General features: G+C 42.7%; 1 protein-coding gene across 1 annotated transcript in view; it reads right to left on the bottom strand.

Annotated features, from left to right (window-relative positions):
• The window catches only part of MICAL2 (microtubule associated monooxygenase, calponin and LIM domain containing 2), a 251551-nt gene continuing 224397 nt past the window's right edge, over positions 53–27206 (bottom strand). The window contains exons 35-37 of the mRNA NM_001393937.1: positions 12256–12355; positions 7336–7409; positions 53–3898 (exon numbers count right to left, since the gene is read on the bottom strand). Coding sequence (NP_001380866.1) covers positions 3714–3898; positions 7336–7409; positions 12256–12355 — 359 coding nt within the window. The 3' untranslated portion in view covers positions 53–3713. The remainder of the gene's footprint in view (positions 3899–7335; positions 7410–12255; positions 12356–27206) is intronic.

Raw genomic sequence — 27206 nt, 5'->3', positions numbered from 1 at the left:
AATGAAATGGATGCTGCCCTCAGAGGTGCCAGACCAAGCCCACATGAAAATGTTTTGATTCCTGAGACACAAAACCATTTATTTTTGGTTCATTTCAGTATCTATAGCAGTGCACAAATAACACATTTCCATCCACATGAATAGTTCCCAATTGTTGGAGCAAATTAATCTTTTACAAGCTACTCAGCAGTGAGGTTAGAAGATAAACAGTAGATGAAATCGTACACTTTCCCCTGTATGTGAACTTTCTTATTACAATAAACTCCTACATTTGAGCTCACCACATCCAATGACTGCCCCTCTCTGTTCATGTGGCGGCCCCGGCTGCCCCCTGCCACCTCTGCCCTGCTGAGGTAGTTCTCTGATCAGCCACCTGGGTGGGGCATGCTGCCATTTTCAGTTTGGAAGGAAAAGCCTGTAAATCTGCTTCCTGGGAAGAGAGACACTGCTGAATTGTCATTTGCCTCCAGAATGCAGAAAACATCAATTTCATTGCAGCTCATCAGGGTTGGAAACACCTGCCACTTCCTTTCTCGGTTGCAATTAACATGGTGCATCTTGGCATTGATTGATTCCAAGCAGCCTAACACTGCCAAAGTCAAGGTTTAAATGAACAGTACAACCTGAGATGATTTTTCACAGTTTTAGAAATACAAACTTATTTTTACTGCCCAAGAAGCCCTGTGATAGTGGGGGATATTCTTTATGCTTGAGATAAACGTGAGTAGAATAGGTTGATGCTTATAATAAAAATAGCTTTTCATCTTTGTATTTGGGGATGGTACCTATTTCTTGATCTTTGTATTTATTTGGAGGTGGAGTTAAGGACTAATATTCTTTCTGTATCTCAGCATCTGGCACAGGGCTGCAGAACCCCATGGGCATTCAGAGGATGTTAAATAAATAGACCAATAAATCAATGGTTTGGGAGAGCAAGCTTAAGAAATGTCCTCTTGGCCCAACTTAGGTACAATTCTGACCTTATAACTATCATAAACACTTTGATTTAACTTAGAAGCTGTGTGAGACTGACTGTGAAATATGACCTGAGGCTGGGCTTTCTGTCCCATTCAGAGTCCTATATAGTTTGGCCTTGATCACATTCACTAGTGCCCTTTTATGGGGCACTGCAGACTCTGTGTGTTTTCATCATAATCCTACTCATATTGCATACAAAGAAACTGTCTTCAAAATGTATAGTATTTTACATTTTGAGAGTCTTAGAATGCTCTCTCTTGTAAATAAGGAATGGAATCATTTTAGATAGTTCAACAGACACAATATTTGTGTCCATTGGAAATGTTGAAATGGTTTTTATGTACTAGTGAAACAGAAAGGCCAGTGTATATAGAAAACTGTTAAGGATGAAGTTTACGTTTTAACTTGGCCAGATAAAACTGAGCCATAAACCACAGAGCACAGCCTGTGAAAGCAAGTGAACAAATTGCTTCTCTCATCTATTAACAGAATACTAGGGGCCAAACCACCTTCTCTCTTGGCCCTCTTGGGAGATTCATCCTTTAGGATGGAAATATAACAAATTAAAATAAGTGGCAATTAATTCTTTTGCACAATAACAACTCAAACATGACACGCTTGAACATCATCTGTTAAGTGTATGCAGGCATCAAAGGATGCACTTTTATGCAACTGACAGAAAAGACTGGGGCCTGAATATTGCTGCATATTCTAGAATGAAAACTGAAGTTATAAATCTTTTTCTTATAATGAGTTGATATTCTTGTGCATCCATAATCTTACCTCTAAATGCCTGATAGCTGAAATCTTTAATACTATACAACTCACTGCCCCAAACATCTGGGTTATTTGTATATTAAATAGCTTATGTACCAATTTCTTAGTGCTAATAGGTCTTCTCCAAATTATAACACCTGAAAACCTGAATTATGAGGAAATGATATTATCAATTCTCACCAATACACAAATAAATAAAAATAGATAAATATCCAGAAGTGGTACAGTTTTCATAGGTAGGCAGGTAGGTAGGTGCCTCCTCATATTGCCTAATAATAGAATTCAGGCCCTGGAAGACCTGATTCTTATTTTTTTTTTAAAAAAAAAAAGGAAGGAAGGAAAGAAAAGGAAAAAGAACTGCAACCTTTGGAACTTGCTATAACATAGAAAGATTGTGCTTAAATGTAACCCAAAGCATTGGCTGACTCAGAGGAAATCCAGTTATACATCTAATTTCTGGCTTGTGAGCTGGCCAGATTGGTGCGTGCAGAGAGCGTCTCTGACAGAAGTGGTTTATGGATTGATTTGAGAGAAATTTGGTCTCCAGTCAGAGCCAACTGTTGCAGAGCACCTTTTGTCTAATGACACATTTAAACACTTGCCGAAATGAGAGCGGCCAAATACACAACCAAGAGTTCTTTAGTGTTTCTCTTATCGATAATAGACTAAATCTTCAAAGAATCCGAGCAAAAACAATCAAATGTTTTATGACAACACATCACCATATTAAATCTTCTCTTCTTTGGCCCCCATGGGAACCCTCATAATGCCCCAGGAATTCCAACATGTCAGCACACAAACTCCATCTTCCAGCTTTCTTTTCAAACTGAAATGTCATTAAAAAAATTCATGACCCAGTTTGGGATTTGGTAAATAGGGTCACTGCATTCAGCCCTCCCTCTAAGTCAGAAGTGGTTTTGTCCTTGCTCTGTAGAGTTCCTGGGGAGAGGGAGAGATACTTCTCTCTTTGAGTCTAAGAAGACCACCAGCGAGAAGCATTCCTTCTCTTGTACCCTAGTGTGTTCAGTTTCAGTAGCGGCACCAACCTCACCAATATTTTATCAACAAATAAAAGAAGTTCCCCTCTTTTTTTTTTTTTTTTTGCCATCATCAACACTTATTTAAAAAGTACTTTAAAATCATTCATTTTCTGAAAATGCTTTTCATTATTTTCCAGGGTCCATAAAAAGCATAGCACGGGGACGAAAAGCTTTTCTAAGCCAGCAGTGTTTGGTGAACACTAACAATCCCACTGGCATAAAGTTAAAGTTTTATTTCCTTTTTTCTTTTCTTCTTAAAATAAAATTAAGGCTCAAATGTTCTATTAAGCTCTCATTGCTTATGTATATTATATTAAGGCTTATAAATGCACCTGGTAAATTAAATTCACCCTGGATTGAATTAACACCTGCTATATGAGTTATTTGCTTTATGTAATCAGTAATCTCAAGGTTTCTCCTCTTTCTCTGGAAACACAATTTAAATATTAACCTAATCTTTAAACTGCGGCTGCTTCTTTCTGACATTTGGAAACTGGTCATCCATACAAAAAAGGCAAATATGGATATATTAATGAAAAGGCAGCTTCTCAAAAATCTTAAAGTATGTAACTCAATGAATTGGGAAGGAAAATGATAAAAGTAGCAGGAAAGTCAAGTCTTTGTGTCACTTTCTAGGGAAAACAATGCTGGTCATCTGCCAACAACACCTCCAGTCTGAGAGCCTGGCTGAAGTTGACTGCCAATTGCCAAAGAGTCTTTGGGTTTTCTTCATTTGAATCTCTGGAAGAACCTTGGGAAGCTGCCATGCGTGCAAGAGAATTTTAATTTTAAAAAATGCAGTAAGGTATAACAAGTTCCAGGGATGATAAATCCTGCAGAAAGACCCATGAGGGTGTGTGGTGCACTTGGCCTGATCCGGTCCCAACGTGCAGCCAGGGAGAGGGACTACGGGCCTCCTCAAGTCCTGCTCAGCTGACAGCCTCTGGAGAATACGAAGCTTTCAAAGTGCTGGTCCTCGGCTTTTTCTCTGATGCGTTGTTCCTCTAAGGAATCGACGAGTTTGTCCCTTTGCTCAATCACTTGCATCAGCTCGGTGAATACTTCTTGCTCTTCGTTTAGATCCTTCTCATCTTTCTGGCTCTCTAAAGAAAAAAAAGAAAACCACTGGGCTCAGAGAAGATTGGGCCCCGGCAGAGTTCTTGGCATGGACATTCTCGATTGTTATGGACTTGTTCTGCCTTTAATTTTAATGGAGAAAACAAGGAAATGAATTTAACACCAAGGAACCGCCCTTAGAGTGAGAGATGAGAAAGGTGTGTGCGGTGAAACAGTTCACTCAGTTTTCATCTTGAAGATATGTACAAAGCGACAGGGAAAACCCCTTTGTAAGAAAAGGAATTTAATACCAGCCAAACCCTATCAAATCCCCCAACCTTCCCTCTGCCCCAAAGAGAAGCTAACAAAACAACAAAAAAGGCGGTTTCCATAAACATAGCTGAGCCACAGCAAAGAAATCTGTGAGAAGTTTCTAAGTAAACCACCTGCACCAGTGGCTACTGTTTCAATGACCACAATCTTTTTTTTCTTTTTTCTTTTTTTGAGATGGAGTCTCACTCTGTTGCCCAGGCTGGAGTGCAGTGGCATGATCTTGGCTCTCTGCAACCTCCACCTCCTGGGTTCATGTGATTCTCCTGCCTCAGCCTCCTGAGTAGCTGGGATTACAGGTGTCTCCCACCACGCCTGGCCAATTTTTTGTGTTTTTAGTAGAGACGGGGTTTCACCATGTTGGCCAGGGTGGTCTCAAACTCCTGACCTAGTGATCAGCCCACCTAAGCCTCCCAAAGTGCTGGGATTACAGGCATGAACCACAGCGCCCAGCCAGAATCTTTTTCATGTGTAGTTAATGACAAACTAGCCTTTTGTTTAGGGACCACAGGGAAGCAAAGTGAGGCTACAACTGTCTGATAGGAAGGTGTTTCCACACTGACTTTGCTTTTCCCTTTGTCTTCTCGAGTACCTGACCTTCTTGATAATTGGCCTGAGGCATTTGGTTGCCTGGGGGAGATAGGATTGTTAGAAAATGAAAGGACAGAGTAGGAAACAAGTAGTAATGAGCTTTGGACACAGAAAACAGGATTCTGAAGCCAGATTTAAGTCTTGTCAAGCAGACAATTGCCTTGGGAGAAGACTTTCTAAATTCCTAGAGCCCCTGTGTCTAACACACGGAGGACTGGGTGGGGAGCCTCCTCCCAGAGTAGAGAGGGTGCCACTTCCTTCATCAGGCTTAGCTCTGAGGTCTGGGCCAGGAAGCAGGTAGGTCTGATGAAAGGGAGACAAAGAAACACCATCCCACTGCACCTCAAGTTTTAAGAAGAAAGAAGAGAGGCAGGAGGGGCAGAGGGTTAGAGCCCCATGCTCGGTCTCTCCATTCTGGGCCTTAGAAGCCCCAAAGGGGACAGGTAATGTCATATCTCATTGGTGGATGGGCAAAGGACTCTTGCCCTGCCCTTGTTCAGAATTCTGGAAAGAAGCCAGCTTAAAGGGCATCCCTATGTATAAACATAAGACAGTACTTCATGGTTGGGCAGAGAAGAAGGGTCTGAGTGTGGCCCCCCAGATCTTGGTGTGCTGTATGCGGCATGGGCGGAGCCTAGAAGGGTCCACTTGCCCCACTGTTACCAGAGACAGCTGGCTAGTGGACCTGCCACAGGGTTCCCCCATGGGGCAGAGTGACCCCACAGGAGAGACTGTCTAGCCATGCTGAATGAAGGATGTGCTGAGGTGAGGCTGGGTGAGCCAGGAATGCCCGCAGGCTCTCAGGCACCCCGAGAGAGTGGGCAGGCTACGGATGAGACCAGCACACACCTCAGTTGCAGATGCCACCAGAGAGAGTTGCAGCCCAATGATGGGGGATGCCATGAGGGGACTCAATAAGCACAGCACCCCACACAGAGTCCTAATGCCACCACAAGGTCACACAGACCTGCCTTTTCCCATTACTTGCCAGTCACCCTGGGGAGAGACAGAGAAGGGAGGGGTGGCATCTTCAAGACTGCACATTTTCATCCCAAAGAGACCGAGCATCTCCTACACGGATTGTTTAAGTTATTGCATCAGATTAAGTTTACCATGGAGGGGTAAAGAGTTCCTATTTTTTTTCCTTGCTAATCAGTGGGAGGATGCATAGGCAGAAGATGAGCTCAGGTACAGACAGAATAAAGAAACTACATTTTTTGGATACATCTGACAGGGTTGAGAAAAACCTATGACCTTCACTTCTTAGTAAGAATTTTTTTAAAAAGAATCAAAGGTGGCAAATAGTCTTTGGTGGTATTTATTTAGTATCCTGAAACAGAACAAATTAAACTTTTCAAATCTGATATATAAATCAGATATCAGTTAGAACCTATGGTTTATTAAGTTAGGTATATTCCAGGATTACTATTCATTTAATAAACAGCACAGAAAAATAAAAAAAAAATCCTCTCTCAGTTTAGGCTTGTCGTGGATGGACCCATCTGAGCCCCTCTGACATATAAAAAATGATTTATACCACTTTAGTCTGTACAGTGCTGCTGCATAAGGATTTTGTTAGAATTCTGTTGCTATAAAGAAACAGTCTGCAAATTACTGCCATATGGGAAAGAACAGGAGACCCTGATCTGTGATCTGTTCCTAAATCTTAGCCCTACCATTCACCTTGAGCATGGGATTTAAATTCTCTGAGACTCAGTTTTCTAATTTGTAAATTGGGCGCGAAAATACCTAAATACAAATCAGTGATAATAATGCCTAACATTTGCTCAGTACTTGCCCTATACTGGGCAACCTCATAAGGTAGGTGCAGTATTAGATCCCTGAGGTATAGACATTCTTTAAGTTGTTCTTTTAGATCTAGGTCTGAATATGGGAAGGTCATGCATCGATCTGGCACTGCAAACACACAGGTGCAAAACGGAGTGAATATGCCTTTCTGGCAGGAACTAATAAATGCATACAGCAGTATACTGTGTCAGTTGAGTTTATCTCTACTCTCCTTGCTTCCTGGTGGAATCGTTTTCTCATGTGTGATGCCCTGGCCCTGCCCACGCTGGGAGGGAACGTTTCCTTTACTAGCTCTAGTGCCTGGCAGCACTAGGCCCGCCTTTCTCTGGGATCCCAAAGCCCTTCTGATGTGGCCTTCATCTCACTGAACTAGCATTACGGAACTGGGGGTGTTAGTCTCCCCAGTGAGACCACAAACTCCTAGAGGGCAGGACTTGCTCTTCATCATAAACCAGGACCATAGTTCCCAGTAAATGTGTGTTAAATGAATGGGTGGATACATGAATGAATAAGTGAACATAGGACTTTGTTCCTACTGCCACTTGGGATGGGGGAAAGCACTGCCCTCACAGCCCAAGTGAATGAGGCTAAATGGGGCTTGTGGTGCTGCTGGTGGGAGGCAGGCTGGCTTTGTACTTTCCTCTAACTTGCAGGCTGGCAGGCAGGAAGAGCGCCCCACTCTGGGATTTGTGGCACACGCTGCTCAGGAGCCTTTCTAGGGGGAAGTTCTCAACAAAGGCCCAAGCATACTCACCCTCCTTGAGCATTTTCTCTCTCAGTTTCTGCTCCAGTCTGCTTTGATGATCTTCTAATTCCAGTTCCTGGGCCCTGGGTGAGAAAATGTTCAAATTTTATGAATACTATAGATTTGTGAGGAAACATTGATGAATAAGCCCATTGAGAGTAGCTACAGCATTCTTTTTTCCTAATTAAGACTGGAGTTTTAGCCTATCTTTATTTTTTATTGTAATTATTATTTTTCTGAGACCGAGTCTTTGTCGTCTGGACTGGAGTGCAGTGGCACCAGCTCACTGCAACCTTCGCCCCCCAGGTCCAAGTGATTCTTCTGCCTCAGCCTCCCAAGTAGCTGGGATTACAGGCGTGCACCACCACGCCTGGCTAATTTTTTTTTTTTTTTTGGAGACAGAGTTTGCTCTTGTCACCCAGGCTGGACTGCAGTGGCACGGTATTGGCTCACTGCAACCTCCACCTCCCAGGTTCAAGCGATTTTCCTGCCTCAGCCTCCTGAGTAGCTGGGATTACAGGCATCTGCCACTGGGCTAATTTTTGTCTTTTTAGTAGAGACAGGGTTTCACCCTGTTGGCCAGGCTGGTCTCGAACTCCTGACCTCAGGTGACCCGCCCTCCTTGGCCTCCCAAAGTGCTGGCATTACAGGCATGAGCCACTGCACCCAGCCTTAGCCTGTCTTTAAACTGAAGGTTCTGCTACTGCTGGGATCTCTGAAGGTACATGGAAAGATTGCTGAGATACACTGAACTCAAGAGACCAGGGGGAGCAGCTGAAGGCTGCAATGTGCTCTCAGTAGGCTTTGGAAGGCCATCCAGACCACCCTTTAGGGATGGGGTGGGGGTGAGGAGAACAGTGAAGAAATGACTAGCATAGGCCCGGGAGAAGCAATGACAATCAAAAGCTTTTCTCTCTTTTAGGAGTAACTTGACTTAGAGCATTAACTCCAATGATGCCCAAGTCTCTGACTGTGGTACATGAGAAAACAAAATAGAGCAAACAAAAGTGAGATATTTTGTGTGGGTGGGGTGGGGGACTTAAAACTCAGGCAACTCTCCAGCTGGCTGTAGGAGAGGTGGAAAGAGTCAGTGATGCTTTGGGGTGGTCAGGCTTGAGTGCTGGGGGCTCAGCATTTCCACTGAGAGGAGCAGCAAAGTCAAGAAATGAGGTGAGTCCTCAGGGAAGGTTAGATGGAACTTAAGTTTTCCATGCCAGGGGATGCCCCATTGAGATCACCGTGGGTGTGTGAGCTCCCCACAGGCTAGCCCATGTGGTAATGTGGAGGCTCCCAAATGCCACTCTGGAGTTCTCAGAAGAAAGGAGGACCACACACAGATGTGGCAGTGGTCAGAGGTGAGAGCTGAAGTTGTGTGATCCCTAAAGGAAGGCTATAGATAAAGAAACAGTTTGAAGACAGAAGCCTGGAAATACCTACATTTAGAAGCCAAACAAAAAAGGTAGCCAGGGAAGAAGCCATCCAAAGGTTGGAAGAACAAAACAAGAAGTGCACCAGCACAGAGACAAGCAAGGGATGTTTTGAGAGAAAAGAGAAAGGTCAAAGGTGTTCACTGCAACAGAGACTTGAAGAGGGTGAGGGCCGAGACTAGGTTCCTGGGTTTGACCTGGTGGGGCCTCCTCTTCCAGCCTCCACCTGCCATCTGCATGTGTATCACACATCACCCCTATAGGTGCTGGGGTCGCTTTGTTATACCCGGTTACTGGCGTTATTTTTACTACATCTGCTACTACATGGGCCAAGGTCCCTGCTTCTTGTTATCAACCCTGAACTTCTTGTGGCCCACTGTGGTAGCCAATGGAGATGGACCGGTCAGATCTTCCTTTAAGAGAACTTTCTGGGAGAAGCATAATGAGCTCACTGCTGCTGCAAAATCCACTTCCATGTCATGCAGACTGGGCAGAGAGGAGGTGCTGCAGTTGCCCCGTTCCTGCCTGCATGGAATTCCTCGATGGGCAGTCTTTGCACTGATGTTCCCATTGGCCTGGCCAAGACTTTCTCAGAGCTGCGCTGCATCTGGGGCTCCTCCTGCCCAATTCTTCTCCCTCCCCACTCTCCTTTTACAGGCATCAGAACTGCAGTGGAGTCTGAAGACTTCTCACTTCCTCCTGCTCCTTCTCCCTTCATAGGCATTTTCCCCAATAGACCTCTTGTTCTTTGAAGTGTCTTGGCATCCGGTTCCCAAAAGCCTTGAATCAAGATACCAATAAGACATTTCTCCATGCTCATTCAGGGCTTTCTCCAAACTAAAACCCATGCTTTAGCAGAGCTCCTACTAGCCTTTGTCTAGTTCACATGTCAAAGTTTTCCTATTCACCCTCCTTTGGAGAGGAAAGTCCTTCCTACAGTGCGTTGACCGGGGAAGCTGCAGTTATGGGACACAGGCAGCAGCCGTGCCTCCCTGACTCTCAGGCAGACCCTTCTGTCGCCATGGAGCTCTTCTAAGTTTTCTTATCACTACTGTGCTATGCACGTGCCTATGTGTTTCCCTTAAAACTACAAGATCCTAGAAAATAGAGTCTATGACCTTATCCATCTTTATTTTCACAGAACCCAGCATAGTCCCTGGTGCACAGAATGTGCTTGATAAATTTTTTACACTTTTAAAATAATTTTTACGTTTTTACAATTTATCATTCATACCTGGCCTCAATGCAGACACAGTAGCTATATAAAAAGGGCTTTGTAGTCAGGTAGAGTGGACAAATTACTTAGTTGCCCTGAATCTCAGTATATGCATCAACTTAAAAAGTTGTAATAAGGCTGAGCATGGTGGCTCAGGCCTGTAATTCCAGCACTTTGGGAGGCCGAGGTGGGTGGATCACTTGAAGTCAGGAGTTCGAGACCAGCCTGGTCAACACGGTGAAACCCTGTCTCTATTAAAAATACAAAAATTAGCTGGGTGTGGTGTGCACCTGTAGTCCCAGCTTCTTGGGAGGCTGAGGCAGAAGAATCACTTGAACCCAGGAGGTGGAGGCTGCAGTGAGCCGAGATCACACCACTGCACTCCAGCCAGGGTGAAAGAGCGAGACTCTGTCTCAAAGAAAAAAAAAAAAAAGTTATAATACAACAAATCATCACTAGAGATGACCCCCCTTCTTCCCAATTCCTGGCATTACCTTCCATGTCAATGGAACTCAATGAATGTAACTCCGGGCCACCTCTCCCAACCCTACCCTTCCTCACTCTCACCCCAGGGGAGGTAAATTTGGGAAAAATAGACTACGTGAGCTCAACTCACTCCTCTCTTTCTCTCCCAGGCTCAGCCAGTCTTCAGCAAACATGTGTTCTCAATAAGCCTTGCCATAGTTCTAGGGCAAGGTTTCTTAACCCTGACACTTTTGACATTTTAGGCCAAATAATTATTTTTTGGTGGGAGGAAGGGACTGTCTTGTACTTTGTAGGATGTTTAGTAGCATCCTTGGCCTCTGCTCACTGGATATCAGTAGCACCCCTGCCCCTAGATGTGACAACAAAAATGTCTTCAGACATTGCCAAATATCCTCTGAGGTTATTGCCCCTGGCTGAACCCCACTGGTCTAGGATAACAGCCTTGCCCCTAAGGAGCAGGTGAGTCTACTACCTTTTGTGATTAGGTAGGTATATGTCTAATTCTGGGGTTGGTTAGTGTAGTGGGTTGAATGGTGACTCCCTAAAAGATATGTCCACGTCCTAACCCATGGAAACTGAATGTGACCTTATTTGTAAAGGGTCTTTGCAGATGCAATTAAGTTAAGGATCTTAAGATAAGAACATTCTGGATTATCTCAGTGGGTCCTAAACCCAATGACCCAAGTGTCTTTATAAGAGCAGAAGAGAAGACACAGACACACAGGGAAGGCTGTGTGAAGACAGAGGCAGAGACTAGAGTGATGCAGCCACAAACTCAGGAAAGCCTGGAGCCAGAAAAAGTGGAAAGGGCAAGGACAGGTCCTTCCTTGTGTTTCTGCAGGAAACACAGCTCCCCCAACACCTTGATTTTGAACTTCTGGCTTCCAGACAGTGAGAGAATAAATTTCTGTTGTAAGCCATCCAGTCTGTGGCAATTTGTTATTGCAGCCTAGGAAACGAATAAAGGTAGCAAGCTAATCTGGGCTGTCATACTTAGCCAGGTACAAGCCATTATCATATAAGCCATTATCGGTAATAAAGATAATATTTTGATGTTCCCTCTATTGACTTGGTTGTCTTATTTCTCACCTGGCTCAGAACCCAGGCAGGGAAGAGTGATAGTATTTATTACACCCCTTCAAAAGCCCTTAAAATTACTTCCTGGGGTTGGGGCAAAAATGAAACGAGACAGCATAAATGGAAGCACCCAGCACAACTTATGGCACTTCAATTGATACTAAATGTTACTTTTTTCCCTCTAGAATGATGACAGGTATAGTGACCTTCAGCTTTTTCAGAGTGTGGTGACATCCATCTCCACTTTTTGGTCTCCCAACGAGGCTGCAACTGCATTCAGAGAGGACAGCCAGACAGAACTCAGTCCTTCATTCTCTTAAAGCCACAGGAAGTGGTCAGGGGTATGTCACTGAGTCCTTCCCAAGATTTACACTCAGAGGCCAGACACAGCCTTCCCATTGCAGGTGTGTGATCCCTCTTTTAAGATGGACCCAGGGAACAGGGATGGATTGAAAATGCCTTATCCAAATGACCTTCAGCTCCAGACCCATTACCCAAAACCTATTTTAGCCACAGGACTCTGCAGAGAGAAAGAACAGACAGCTAAAGATTCTTTGCACTAATGCCAGCATGATATGCAAGACATAAAATATCAATTTGCCTCAATCACTATTCTGTATGCACAAGGAGAAAAAGTCCCGAGACTTCGGCCTAGGAGGGTAAGCCACCCCCCTTTGCCCCTTTGCTTTTAGGACTCGCTGGTATCTGTGTTGCCTTACTTACATGATTAGGAGCTCCGACTCATATCGCATTAATTTATTCTTCTCCAGAACCAGCTTAAACCATTCCTGCAAAAGCTGTGCTTCATCCTGTGTGCCTGAATCTGCTTAAGAAATCAACAGCAAATGGGTTAGATTGGCATTTCTCTCCCCATGATCAAACTGCTTTGAGCCACTTTAGCAGGTTATGTTTGTAGTGACAAGGGCTCTGCAGGCAGCAGCTCCCTGACACCCTGTAGGTGCCTCCAGGTTATGGGTATGACAAATAAAACCCACCTGTGCATGCTGTGGGTACGTGTGTGAGGGGGTCTTCTTGGACACTTAGGGCATGACTACTCCAGTTCCAATGGTCACATAACCACGATAACATCCCACCACAAACGACCCTCCCCCTGCCTACTCGTATATTCTTTGTAAAACTTACATATGTGTATGCATCACATCCTTCACCAAGGACAACCCTAGCTGCTGCTCATCATTTCCTTCTTCTTTTTCTCCCCCAGATCAAATGCCTACTGAGTACCCAGGTGGTGTGTGGCTCCTTCCATGGGGCAGGGAAGCTCATGCCACATTTGGTCACAGAGGAGTGCTGACTGGCATTTTGATTTTTTGAACAAAGAAAAGCCAAATAATAATAATACAAAAGTTATTAGCTTTGTGTCTCATGGGGGAAAAGTTATATCCATATATTCTTATTACTTAGATTATGACCTTTATTAAACAGAAGAAGAATCACGAGAAAACTGGCACTGCTTCTTAGATATTTAATGTTAGATACTAAATATCTAGGTACTAAAATGTTAAAAGGTGGCTTTCGAATATTTCACCCTGAAAGGAGAACACAAGCTGTATGGCAAAGCTCATGGTCATCCTAGAAGGATTTATCCTGGAGGGTCCCATACGCAGAGGGGAAAACAAGGCAGACAGAAGCTTTGTGTGACCTTGTGCAAGTTGCTTAACTTCTCCGAACCTCTGCTTCTTCACTGGTTAAAGTGGAATAATAAGACACACAGGCAATACAATAATAATGAGCTGCTGTTTATTTTGTAGTGATTACATGCCAGTTGATGGGCTATGTGCCTTATATGCAGCACCTAATTTAATCCTCATAACAAACTTTTCTGTAGATACACTTATCATCACCACTTGATAGCTGAAGAAATGGAGGTTTAAAAGATTAAACTTGCCCAAGTTCACAGTAAGCAGCAGAGCTAGAGCCTGAACTTAACTGTGTCTGATCCTAAACCCACAATCTTCACTGCTATGTATATTTCTCCCTCCCTCCTGCTAAAATAGTCTAAGATAAATAATATGCCTAGTTCATTGCCTTGCACATAGCAAGAAATCCATAAAAATTAGTTCCCTTTTCTCTGTGTCTCCTGGACCACCTTGTTATTGATAATAAAACCAGGGCCCAGAAAGATTTACAGTCATCTCTCAGTATTTATGGAGGACTAGTTCTAGGACCCCCTCTTGGATATCAAAATCCATGAGTGCTCAAGTCCCTTATATATAATGACACAGTATGGTCAGCTCTTCAAATCTGTGGGTTCCTCAACTGTGGATTCAACCCACTGTGGATCAAAAATATTCAGAAAAAAATATTTCACAAAGTTCCAAAAAACACAAATTTGCTGCACTTCAAGTACTATGTTGAATCCATACAAATGAAGTAATTTGTAGGCATTGTGTTTGGTATGGTGAGTAATCTAGAGATGATTTTAAAATATGGGAAGATGTACACAGGTTATATGCAAATACTATGCCTTTTTTTTTTTTTTTTTTTTTGAGACAGAGTCTTTCTCTGTTGCCCAATCTGGAGTGCAGTGGCACGATCTTGGCTCACTGCAACCTCCGCCTCTCAGGTTCAAGTGATTCTCCTGCCTCAGCCTCCTGAGTAGCTAGGACTACAGGTGTGTGCCACCACACCTAGCTAAGTTTTGTATTTTTAGTAGAGATGGGGTTTCACCACGTTGGCCAGGATGGTCTCGAACTCCTGGCCTCAGATGGTCCTCTCGCCTTGGCCTCCCGAAGTGTTGGGATTACAGGTGTGAGCCACCGTGCCTGGCCTGCTATGTCATTTTATATCAGGGTCTTGTGCATTCATACATTTTAGTATCTGCACAGGAGTTCTGACCCAGTCCCACATAGACACCAAGAGGTGACTGTATTTGCATATAACCTATACACATCCTGTAGTATACGTTATATAATTTCTAGATTATTTATAATACTGAATATGATATAAATGCTATGTCAGTATTTGCCATATTGTATTGGTTTTTCTATCTGTATTATTTTTTATTGTATTATTTTAATTTTTCTCTAAATATTTTCAATTTACAGATGCAGAAGGGTGGACTGTATATGCAATATCCCAAATTATTTACTTTATGGGCAAACTGGTGCTAGAATGCAGAGCTTGGCTTCTGTTTCATTCATTCACTTAATAACATCTATCTATCAGACACCTCCTATGTGTTGGTATTGCCTTAGGTACTGGAGATACAGTGATATATAATGTTACATTGCATGAGAAATTTGCAGATAGTGAGGCATTGTGCCTACCAAAAAGGATATCATTAGATACTCTTTGGATCACAGGGACTCAAAGAGCTAGAATAAAATAGAATATTAGAAAACAATCACAATAAAGCAACAAAAAGCACTGTGGGCACACAGGGGAGGGAGGATTCTCCTGATCAGGGTGTGAGGCTGGACTTTCTGAGGGACTGGGGTGGAAGAACAGGTAACACTTTTGAGAGGAAATAATGAGGGTGGAAGAGGGCATTTTTCAAGAAGAGGGAACAACTTGAGGAAACACAAGGCAATGGGGAAGAAGACGGTGGAGACAGAGATTGGGAGGGGCTGAGGGGCATGGAGGGGTGGGCAAGGAGGCCTGGCATTTTTTGATGATCTCATCACAGAGAGTAGTGCTAAGGCATTTGCACTTCATGCTGTAGAACACAAAGGGACATTAAAGGATGTGGAGTAGGAGAATGATGTGTGAAGTGTCGTGTGTAAAGGACTAAAGTGAGAAAGGGAGGAGGGAGGGAAATAAGGTGTTAATCTTTCTTAGGTTTCTTGAGTGAATGAATGTATGAGCAACCAAATTTATAAACATTGAGGGCCAACATCTTCTATGCATTGTTAGTGGTGCCGGACAGGGGCGAGTAAACACTGGTTCCAGCTCTTTAGGTAACTGGGAGCTCATGGTCCATTGGGGAAAACCAACGTAGCCAAATAGAATACAACATGCCTCTTGTGAGAACACAGGAGGCAGGCAATTAATTGTGTGTGGAGAAAGCGAGGGAAAGCCTCAGAGAGGAGACAGCAGGTGCACTCAGTCTAAATGGATGACAGAGTTTGCCAGGGAGAGGAGGGGAAGAACAAGGCATTCACGGACATTTGTTATTGGATGAAAGAATGAAGTATGTACGCCAGAGATCATATAGAACATAGAAGTTAAGAATGTACACTTTAAACTCAGACTTGGGATCAAAATGCCACTCCTCTACTTCCCATTGTGTGGGCTTGAGCAATTATCATAGACTTCCTAAGCCTCAGTTTCTATCTGCCATGCAGCTGCAGTGGGATTATGCACACAAAGCCCTTATCCCAGTCCTGGCACACAGTATAAGCTCAATAAATGGGAACTGTCACTATTGAAATCATACAATACACATGGTAGAAGAACCCTCCGGGGTCATCTGGTCCAGCCATGAGCCAGTGCAGGAATTCCCTCCGCTCCTCCCTCACAGGTGGCTGCTCTATAATTATCCATGGGACGAAGGAGCTCTCTCCTGTCCAGGAAGCCCACTGCAGGGCTGTGTACTTTAAGTCCTGAAAACTTCTTTCTATCGGCCTTCAATGGGTTGGCCGCTAACCACTGATTCCAGTTTTTCTTCCTGGAGGAAGATGGAAAACAGTAAGTATATTTTACATGACAGACCTTTAGATATTTGAGGACACGTCTCACAATTCACTAAGTTTGCTCTTTTCACAGCGCCTCCAGATCGTCTGTCATTTTGTCCTAGGAAGGATGCCCATTCTGCTTACCCTCTAATTTTCCAAGATATATCTTAAAGAGAGTCTATAATTAAACACTATATAAACAACCCAAAATGGAGAGACCCTCTCTCTCACACCTTCATCCTATGCCCAGAGATTGCAGAAGTCTTTTTAGCAGCATCTTCACTGGGGCTCTTATTTACCAGTAAATGAACTCTGGCCTTTCCACAATGGTGGTAGTTAAGTCTGATACCTTCATCTTTTACTTGTGCAACTGATCTTTTTCATAACCCAATTCAAGACTTTGTATGCATCTTGTTAAATATCACCTTACTTATTTGGCACGTTATGGAGACATCTTTTGAATATTTTATCCAGCTGACACATTTCTCCTGAGATTTCTGCAGAACTGATAAATGGGCATCCTGTACATTTATGTGATATTAGAAAGCAAAATGTCAGATGGAACTGGACATGGAAGACAGCCATCTGGCACATCATTAGGGACCTTTCTCAGCCTTTGGATGAAGCCGACTCTATATGCACCAAACTGGTGTCATCCAGCCCACATTGCTATATCTTGTCTATGAGGCTGTTAGAGAAATGACCAAGGTCAAAATAGTTTCCTGAACTGAAGCTCCACAATGTCTGTCATGTTCATTGGCACTACAAACCTTGCAACTCCATCCAGAAAAAGAAATGACATTTGTTTTTCACAGCTTCTCACGAAACACGAGTGGTTTCTAGTAATCTCAAAATTCTTTCTAAATACTCACAATCTTTCTTTCTTTCTTTCTTTTTTCTTTTTTTTTTTGAGATGGATTCTCGTCTCGCTCTGTCGCCCAGGCTGGAGTGCAGTGGCGCAATCTCGGCTCACTGCAAGCTCCGCCTCCCGGGTTCACACCATTCTCCTGCCTCAGCCTCCCGAGTAGCTGGGACTACAGGCGCCCACCACAACACCAGCTAATTTTTTGTACTTTTTTTTTTAGTACAGACGGGGTTTCACCGTGTTAGCCATGATGGTCTCCATATCCTGCCTTGTGATCTGCCCGCCTTGGCCTCCCAAAATGCTGGGATTACAGGCGTGAGCCACCGCACCTGGTCCACAATTTCTTTGATAATTATTTCTAGGCCGGGCGCGGTGGCTCACGCCTGTAATCCCAGCACTTTGGGAGGCCGAGGTGAGTGGATCATCTGGGGTCAGGAGTTCAAGACCAGCTGAGCCAATATGGTGAAACCCCGTCTCTACTGAAAATACCAAAAGTTAGCTTGGCATAGTGGTAGGCACCTGTAATCCCAACTACTCAGAGGCTGAGACAGGAGAATCGCTTGAACCTGGGAGGCGGAGGTTGCAGTGAACCCCGATTGCACCATTGCACTCCAGCCTGGGCAACAGGAGCAAAACTCCATCTCAAAATAATAATAATAATAATAATAATAATAATAATAATAATAATAGTTTCTAGAATTTTGACAAGGATCATAATTCATGCTTCTTTTCCATATGAAAAACGGAAAATGTGCTCCAAGACCTCTAGCCTTTTGGTTCCAAAATTCTCCATGAGTTTTCAAAGACTGAGGTCATATGTATAAGCTATTTCTTTTCTTTTGTTTTTTGTTTTGTTTTGTTTTTTTGAGACCGAATCTCACCCTGTCACCCAGGCTGGAGTGCAGTAGCATGATCTCAGCTCACTGCAACCTCTGCCTCCCCGGTTCAAGAGATTCTCCTGCCTCAGCCTCCTGAGTAGCTGGGATTAGAGGTATGTGCCACCATGCCCGACTAATTTTTGTGTTTTTAGTAGAGATGGGGTTTCGCTATGTTGCCCAGGCTGGTCTTGAACTCCTGGGCTCAAGCGATCCACCTGCCTCAGCCTCCCAAAGGGCTGGGATTGCAGGTGTCACCAATCGTGCCCGGTCAATATGCAAGACATTTCAAAAGCAGGGGCTTAATTCAGCAAGTTCTGATTGAGTAATGCTACATCCAAGACACTGTTCTATGTTCCATCTTTCACCTGGCCTTACAGCTCTCTCATTTTTTCCACGTATCTAGATTCAGTCCCTTCTAGATATTTGTTTAATGTTTCTAGATTAAGGATCGTTTTTCCTTGATAGAGAAAACAGAAAAGCTGAGAGCTGAGAATTCTGCCTTTCCTCGTATCTAACATTATACCATCTGCCACATGCACTGGGCCTATCCTTCCTTGTTCTCGATCCAAAAGAAGCAGCTTTCAAGACACTATTTTGCTGTCTTTAGAGCATTTTTTGTTGTTGTTTTTCAGATTCAGCCTCTTTCCTGCATTATACCCACACGTTCTAGCTAGACTTTTATCCGGGATTACATGTCATTTTTTCAGTCTTATGTGTCCTAAAATCTGGCCTGTTAGAGAGTTCCCTGTGCTGCCACACTGATTCCCCTTGACACTGTACTTGACAAACACAGGTTGAACAGAATCACTCAATTTAATTATTTTTTCAGTGGAATAACTTCTAATTTTATTGGCTACAGTTTTTTTTTTTTTTTTTTAATGAGATGAAGCTCTTGTCGCCCAGGCTGGAGTGCAATGGCATGATCTCAGCTTACTGCAACCTCTGCCTCCTGGGTTCAAGCAATTCTCCTGCCTCAGCCTCCTGAGTAGCTGAGATTACAAGCACCTGCCACCATGCCTGGCTAATTTTTGTATTTTTAGTAGAGATAGGGTTTCATCATGTTGGCCAGGCTGGTCTCGAACTCCTGACCTCAGGTGATCCGCCCACCTCAGCCTCCCAAAGTGCTGGGATTACAGGTGTGAGCCACGGCGCCCAGCCTATTTTTCAGTCTCCCTTTCTTCAGTAGTCAAAAGCACTTTGGGGGATCTTCGGGTGTGGAATCAAGTGCAGGTTTCCAGGGAATCTGCCTTCCCAAAGTATTGGGTTCAGGACGACTGTGCCCAGTTCAACCTTGCCTTGCTCTCCACTCCAACCACGCCCCAAGAGGCTCCTCTACGATTTCCATCAGCTCCCTGCCCCCTCCCGGTAAGATTCCTTCCTGTGGGTCCTGACGAAGGCAGCATTGCCCCTCACTATAAATGCAATAGAGCAAAGTGAAAGAAGCATGGGCTTTGAAGTCAATCAGACCTTGCTCTGCCACTTACAAACATGTGACTTTGGGCACGTAACCTCACGTCTGTCTGCCTGAGTCTCCTCCTGTGGAAAATGGGGATGGTGATGATAGTACCTACCTTATAAATTGGATTAAATGAGCTGACGCATGTCAAATGCTTAGCATTGTGCTTGGCTAAGCATTGTGCTTGGCACATAGTAAACACTCAGTAAACTATACCATGCCATTTCTATAGTAAACTATACCATACCACACCTACCTTGCCATTTCTTCCAACGTCTAGTTCTATAGTTCAATATGGATTATTTTCTGTTCACCTTTAGAATTCAGCTAGAGTATAACCCCTGCCTTGACTATACATGGCTAAACTTTATTTTGTAACTTAAAATGAAGTTAACAAAAACTCATAAATAATAATTTTTTTTTGGCCTCATGTAAATGAAAAGGTCATGTGGCTGCGTAGATCATCCGCACTTCTTGGGAAGACACAAGCACCTGGTACCTATGCGATGGTTTGCTTATCCACATCTCCATCTGGTCCCATAGCTGCTGGTGCATGGAAAGCCCTTTCAGGGCATGGCTGGGACTCTTATGACTAGCTAGGAACCAGGACGCAGCTGCAATGGTGCAGCCAAAAGGCAAGCAGCCTCTGCCTGTGAATAGAATGGCCCAGTTCTCCAGCCCTTTCTTCCGCTCACCCTCTGCCTGGGTCCACTGTCAACTGGCTCTTCAATTGCTCCTGTGTCCTCATCTCATGCCTTTTCCTGTGCGAAATGTAAGTATCCCACTTGCTGAGGTGAAATGATCAAAACCCAACACAAAGTGACTTTTTATTAATAGAGTCATTTATATTGACTCAGTTTTGCCCAAGAGTACTCTCAAAATTGCAAAGCACACTATGTTACTTCCAACCACCAAGGCTGGTAAATCTTAGTCCCTACTTACCCTACGATGATTGGCATGTAAAGGTCAATAACTTTTTTCTTTTCTTTTCTTTTCTTTTTGAGAAAGAGTCTTGCTCTGATGCCCAGGCTAGAGTGCAGTGGTGCAATTTTGGCCCACCACAAACTCCACCTCCCGGGTTCAAGCTATTCTTTTGCCTCAGCCTCCCAAGTAGCTGGGACTACAGGCATGCGCCACCATGCTCGGCTAATTTTTATATTTTTCGTAGAGATGGGGTTTCACCATGTTGGCCAGGCTGGTCTTGAACTCCTGACCTTAGGTAATCTGCCTGTCTTGGCCTCCCAAAGTGCTGGGATTAGAGGCATAAGCCACCGCGCCGGGCCAATAACATTTTTTGGAATAGATAGTAGTAGAGAAAAAAAACGATCTATTTATTCTTTAAACTTATGTCTTTTTTTTTGTTTGTTTTTAACCTTTTTTTTTGTAGGTAATGCTGAAGGCTTCTCTGATTATGTATTGGTGTGTGTTTTTTATCCAAGTTGGGTCTTGTTTTGCTGCGTGGTTCATAACTATCTATCTCTTTTGATGTGATTTTGCACCTCCTTAGAATCTGTGAGAAGTCCTAATTCAGTGTTCGCTGCAATTTTGTTGATGTAGTCTTCATCTTCACTGATGATCTAGGGGCCTTCAAGGGGCTTTAGAGAAAGTGGAGCAGGAACTCTCAATAGCACTGTGCAGGGCCTCTCCCCTGGAATGGCTGGGTTTCGGTCCCTGTCTTTTGTTCTCTGGTCTCTGGTCAGCACTCCACTCTGGAGCTCATGCACAGACCTGTTTCATTCAAGTTTCTACCACCCTTCATATGTGGAGCTCTGGGTATGTCTGCCTCCCACAGGCTCCTTACACAGAATGATGATAATCCAGAAAGCTGTGCTGTGAATCTGGCCTGATTCAGTCTTGACAAGCCCAAGATGCTAGTAGCTAGCTCACAATTCTGTTCTGGGAGTCAGAGCATGCAGCTGAAAAATAAAAATTCTAATCTTTCCCTTTTAAATTACTTTTTGTTTTGTTTTAATCTGTATATTCTTTAGAAACAAAAAAATTAGTTTTTCTTGACTTTGGGCTTTAGTGAAATTGTATTATACTATATGTATTCTTCCATAACTTGCTTGTTTTAAATTCAAAATTATGTTGTAAAAATGCATCCATGTGACTGATTCATTTTCACTGCTGTATATATAACATTCGGTTGTATGACTATACCACAAATTATCCATTTTCCTGTTAATGGATATCTGAGTTGTTCTTAGAGTTCTGCTATTATGAGTGATGCTGTTATGAGCATTCTTGTATGTGTCTTTTTGGCCACGTGGGTAAGAGTTTCTCTGGAGTATATATTAGGAATGAAATTCTTAAATTGTAGCGTATGCACATATTCAACTTCACAGCCTAAAGCCCAATTGTTTTCCAAAGTGTTGTGACAATTTGTGTTCCCATTAACATTGAATAAGAGTGCACCTTGTCCCTCACCCTTGCCAAATGCTTAGTATTATCAGATTTTTAAAGTTCTAATAATTTAATAGTTTTCCATAGTTTTTTACTGTAGTCTGAATTATTTGTATTTTCCTGTCTTTTTCACAGATTTATTGGACATTAAGTATTCTTCTGTGAAGAGAATATTTATGTCATTTGTCTATATTTATATTGGGTTGTTTGCCTATTTCTTACTGATTTGTAACAGTGGGAATATTCTAGAATGCTGATTCTTTTTTGGTTATTTTTTTTGCAAACACAGTTGACCGTCTGTATCTGAGGGTTCTACATCCTCAGATTCAACCAACTGTGGATTGAAAATATTCTGGAAGGTAGAGCCAAGATGGCTGAATTGGAACAGCTCCAGTCTATAGCTCCCAGCGTGAGCGACGCAGAAGATGGGTGATTTCTGCATTTCCAACTGAGCTTTGAAGAGAGTAGTGGTTCTCCCAGCACACAGCTTGAGAACTGAGAACGGGCAGACTGCCTCCTCAAGTGGGTCCCTGACCCCCGAGTAGCCTAACTGGGAGGCACCCCCCAGTAGGGGCAGACTGACACCTCACAAGGCTGGGTACTCCTCTGAGACAAAACTTCCAAAGGAACGATCAGGCAGCAGCATTTGCGGTTCACCAATATCCGCTGTTCTGCAGCCACCACTGCTGATACCCAGGCAAATGGGTCTGGAGTGGATCTCCAGCAAACTCCAACAGACCTGCAGCTGAGGGTCCTGACTGTTAGAAGGAAAACTAACAAACAGAAAGGACATCCACACCAAAAACCCATCTGTACATCACCATCATCAAAGACCAAAGGTAGATAAAACCACAAAGATGGGGAAAAAACAGAGCAGAAAAACTGGAAACTCTAAAAATCAGAGTGCCTTTCCTCATCCAAAGGAACACAGCTCCTCACCAGCAACGGAACAAAGCTGGATGGAGAATGACTTTGATGAGTTGAGAGAAGGCTTCAGAAGATCAAACTACTATGAGCTAAAGGAGGAAGTTCGAACCAATGGCAAAAAAGTTAAAAACCTTGAAAAAAAATTAGATGAATGGCTAACTAGAATAATCAATGAAGAGAAGTCCTTAAAGGACCTGATGGAGCTGAAAACCACGGCACGAGAACTACGTGACAAATGCACAAGCCTCAGTAGCTGACGCGATCAACTGGAAGAAAGGGTATCAGCGATGAAAGATGAAATGAATGAAATGAAGTGAGAAGTTTAGAGAAAAAAGAGTAAAAAGAAATGAACAAAGCCTCCAAGAAATATGGGACTATGTGAAAAGACCAAATCTACGTATGACTGGTGTACCTGAAAGTGATGGGGAGAATGGAATCAAGTTGGAAAACACTCTGCAGGATATTATCCAGGAGAACTTCCCCAATCTAGCAAGGCAGGCCAACATTCAGATTCAGGAAATACAGAGAATGCCGCAAAGATACTCCTCGAGAAGAGCAACTCCAAGACACATAATTGTCAGATTCACCAAAGTTGAAATGAAGGAAAAAATGTTAAGGGCAGCCAGAGAGAAAGGTCAGGTTACCCACAAAGGGAGGCCTATCCGACAAACAGCTGATCTCTCCGCAGAAACTCTACAAGCCAGAAGAGAGTAGGGGCCAATATTCAACATTCTTAAAGAAAAGAATTTTCAACCCAGAATTTCATATCCAGCCAAACTAAGCTTCATAAGTGAAGGAGAAATAAAATACTTTACAGACAAGCAAATGTTGAGAGATTTTGTCACCACAAGGCCTGCCCTAAAAGAGCTCCTGAAGGAAGCACTAAATATGGAAAGGAACAACTGGTACCAGCCACTGCAAAAACATGCCAAATTGTAAAGACCATCAAGGCTAGGAAGAAACCGCATCAACTAACGAGCAAAATAACCAGCTAACATCATAATGACAGGATCAAATTCACACATAACAATATTACCCTTAAACGTAAATGGGCTAAATGCGCCAATTAAAAGACACAGACTGGCAAATTGGATAAAGAGTCAAGACCCATCAGTGTGCTGTATTCAGGAAACCCATTTCACGTGCAGAGACACACATAGGCTCAAAATAAAGGGATGGAGGAAGATCTACCAAGAAAATGGAGAACAAAAAAAGGCAGGGGTTGCAAGCCTAGTCTCTGATAAAACAGACTTTAAACCAACAAAGATCAAAAGAGACAAAGAAGGCCATTACATAATGGTAAAGGGATCAATTCAACAAGAAGAGCTAACTATCCTAAATATATATGCACCCAATACAGGAGCACACAGATTCATAAAGCAAGTCCTTAGTGACCTACAAAGAGACTTAGACTCCCACACAATAATAATGGGAGACTTTAACACCCCACTGTCAACATTAGACAGATCAACGAGACAGAAACTTAACAAGGATATCGAGGAATTGAACTCAGCTCTGCACCAAGCGGACCTACTAGACACCTACAGAACTCTCCGCCCCAAATCAACAGAATATACATTCTTTTCAGCACCACACCACACCTATTCCAAAACTGACCACATAGTTGGAAGTAAAGCTCTCCTCAGCAAATGTAAAAGAACAGAAATTATAACAAACTGTCTCTCAGACCATAGTGCAATCAAACTAGAACTCAGGATTAAGAAACTCACTCAAAACCACTCAACTACATGGAAACTGAACAACCTGCTCCTGAATGACTACTGGGTACATAACGAAATGAAGGCAGAAATAAAGATGTTCTTTGAAACCAACGAGAACAAAGACACAACATACCAGAATCTCTGGGACACATTCAAAGCAGTGTGTAGAGGGAAATTTATAGCACTAAATGCCCAAAAGAGAAAGCAGGAAAGATCTAAAATTGACACCCTAACATCACAATTAAAAGAACTAGAGAAGCAAGAGCAAACACATTCAAAAGCTAGCAGAAGGCAAGAAATAACTAAGACCAGAGCAGAACTGAAGGAAATAGAGACACAAAAAACCCTTCAAAAAATCAATGAATCCAGGAGCTGGTTTTTTGAAAAGATCAACAAAATTGATAGACCGCTAGCAAGACTAATAAAGAATAAAAGAGAGAAGAATCAAATGGACGCAATAAAAAATGACAAAGGGGATATCACCACCGATCCCACAGAAATACAAACTACCATCAGAGAATACTATAAACACCTCTACGCAAATAAACTAGAAAATCTAGAAGAAATGGATAAATTCCTCGACACATACACCCTCCGAAGACTAAACCAGGAAGAAGTTGAATCTCTGAATAGACCAATAACAGGCTCTGAAATTGAGGCAATAATTAATAGCTTACCAACCAAAACAAGTCCAGGACCAGATGGATTCACAGCCGAATTCTACCAGAGGTACAAGGAGGAGCTGGAACCATTCCTTCTGAAACTATTCCAATCAATAGAAAAAGAAGGAATCCTTCCTAACTCATTTTATGAGGCCAGCATCATCCTGATACCAAAGCCTGGTAGAGACACAACAAAAAAAGAGAATTTTAGACCAATATCCTTGATGAACACTGATGCAAAAATCCTCAATAAAATACTGGCAAACTGAATCCAGCAGCACAGCAAAAAGCTTATCCACCATGATCAAGTCAGCTTCATCCCTGGGATGCAAGGCTGGTTCAACATATGAAAATCAATAAACATAATCCAGCATATAAACAGAACCAAAGACAAAAACCACATGATTATCTCAATAGATGCAGAAAAGGCCTTTGACAAAATTCAACAACCCTTCATGCTAAAAACTCTCAATAAATTAGGTATTGATGGGATGTATCTCAAAATAATAAGAGCCATCTATGACAAACCCACAGCCAATATCATACTGAATGGACAAAAACTGGAAGCATTCCCTTTGAAAACTGGCACAAGACAGGGAGGCCCTCTCTCACCACTCCTATTCAACATAGTTTTGGAAGTTCTGGTCAGGGCAATCAGGCAGGAGAAGGAAATAAAGGGCATTCAATTAGGAAAAAAGGAAGTCAAATTTCCCTGTTTGCAGATGACATGATTGTATATCTAGAAAACCCCATTGTCTCAGCCCAAAATCTCCTTAAGCTGATAAGCCACTTCAGCAAAGTCTCAGGATACAAAATCAATGTGCAAAAATCACAGACATTCTTATACACCAATAATAGACAAACAGAGAGCCAAATCATGAGTGAACTCCCATTCACAACTTCCTCAAAGAGAATAAAATACCTAGGAATCCAACTTACAAGGGATGTGAAGGGCCTCTTCAAGGAGAACTACAAACCACTGCTCAATGAAATAAAAGAGGATACAAACAAATGGAAGAACGTTCCATGCTCATGGGTAGGAAGAATCAATATCATGAGAATGGCCATACTGCCTAAGGTAATTTATAGATTCAATGCCATCCCCATCAAGCTACCAATGACTTTCTTCACAGAATTGGAAAAACTTCTTTAAAGTTCATATGGAACCAAAAAAGAGCCCGCATTGTCAAGTCAATCCCAAGCCAAAAGAACAAAGCTGGAGGCATCATGCTACCTGACTTCAAACTATACTACAAGGCTACAGTAACCAAAACAGCATGGTACTGGTACCAAAACAGATACACAGACCAATGGAACAGAACAGAGCTCTCAGAAATAATGCTGCATATCTACAACTATCTGATCTTTGACAAACTTGACAAAAACAAGAAATGGGGAAAGGATTCCCTATTTAATAAATGGTGCTGGGAAAACTAGCTAGCCATATGTAGAAAGCTGAAACTGGATCCCTTCCTTACACCTTATACAAAAATTAATTCAAGATGGATTAAAGACTTACATGTTAGACCTAAAACCATAAAAACCCTAGAAGAAAACCTAGGCAATACTATTCAGGACATAGGCATGGGCAATGACTTCATGACTAAAACACCAAAAGCAATGGCAACAAAAGCCAAAATTGACAAATGGGATCTAATTAAACTCAAGAGCTTCTGCACAGCAAAAGAAACTACCAACAGAGTGAACAGGCAACCTACAGAATGGGAGAAAATTTTTGCAACCTACTCATCTGACAAAGGGCTAATATCCAGAATCTACAATGAACTCAAACAAATTTACAAGAAAAAAACAAACAATCCCATCAAAAAGTGGGTGAAGGATATGAAGAGACACTTCTCAAAAGAAGACATTTATGCAGCCAAAAAACACATGAAAAGAGGCTCATCATCACTGGCCATCAGAGAAATGCAAATCAAAACCACAATGAGATACCATCTCACACCAGTTAGAACGGCAATCATTAAAAAATCAGGAAAAAACAGGTGCTGGAGAGGATGTGGAGAAATAGGAACACTTTTACACTGTTGGTGGGACTGTAAACTAGTTCAACCATTGTGGAAGACAGTGTGGTGATTCCTCAGGGATCTAGAACTAGAAATACCATTTG

The sequence above is a fragment of the Homo sapiens genome, chromosome 11 (genome assembly GCF_000001405.40).
Source record: "Homo sapiens chromosome 11, GRCh38.p14 Primary Assembly".
Lineage (NCBI taxonomy): Eukaryota > Metazoa > Chordata > Mammalia > Primates > Hominidae > Homo > Homo sapiens.
The sequence above is the reverse complement of the archived record's forward strand: the minus strand, read 5'-3'. Positions and strand labels throughout refer to the sequence as shown.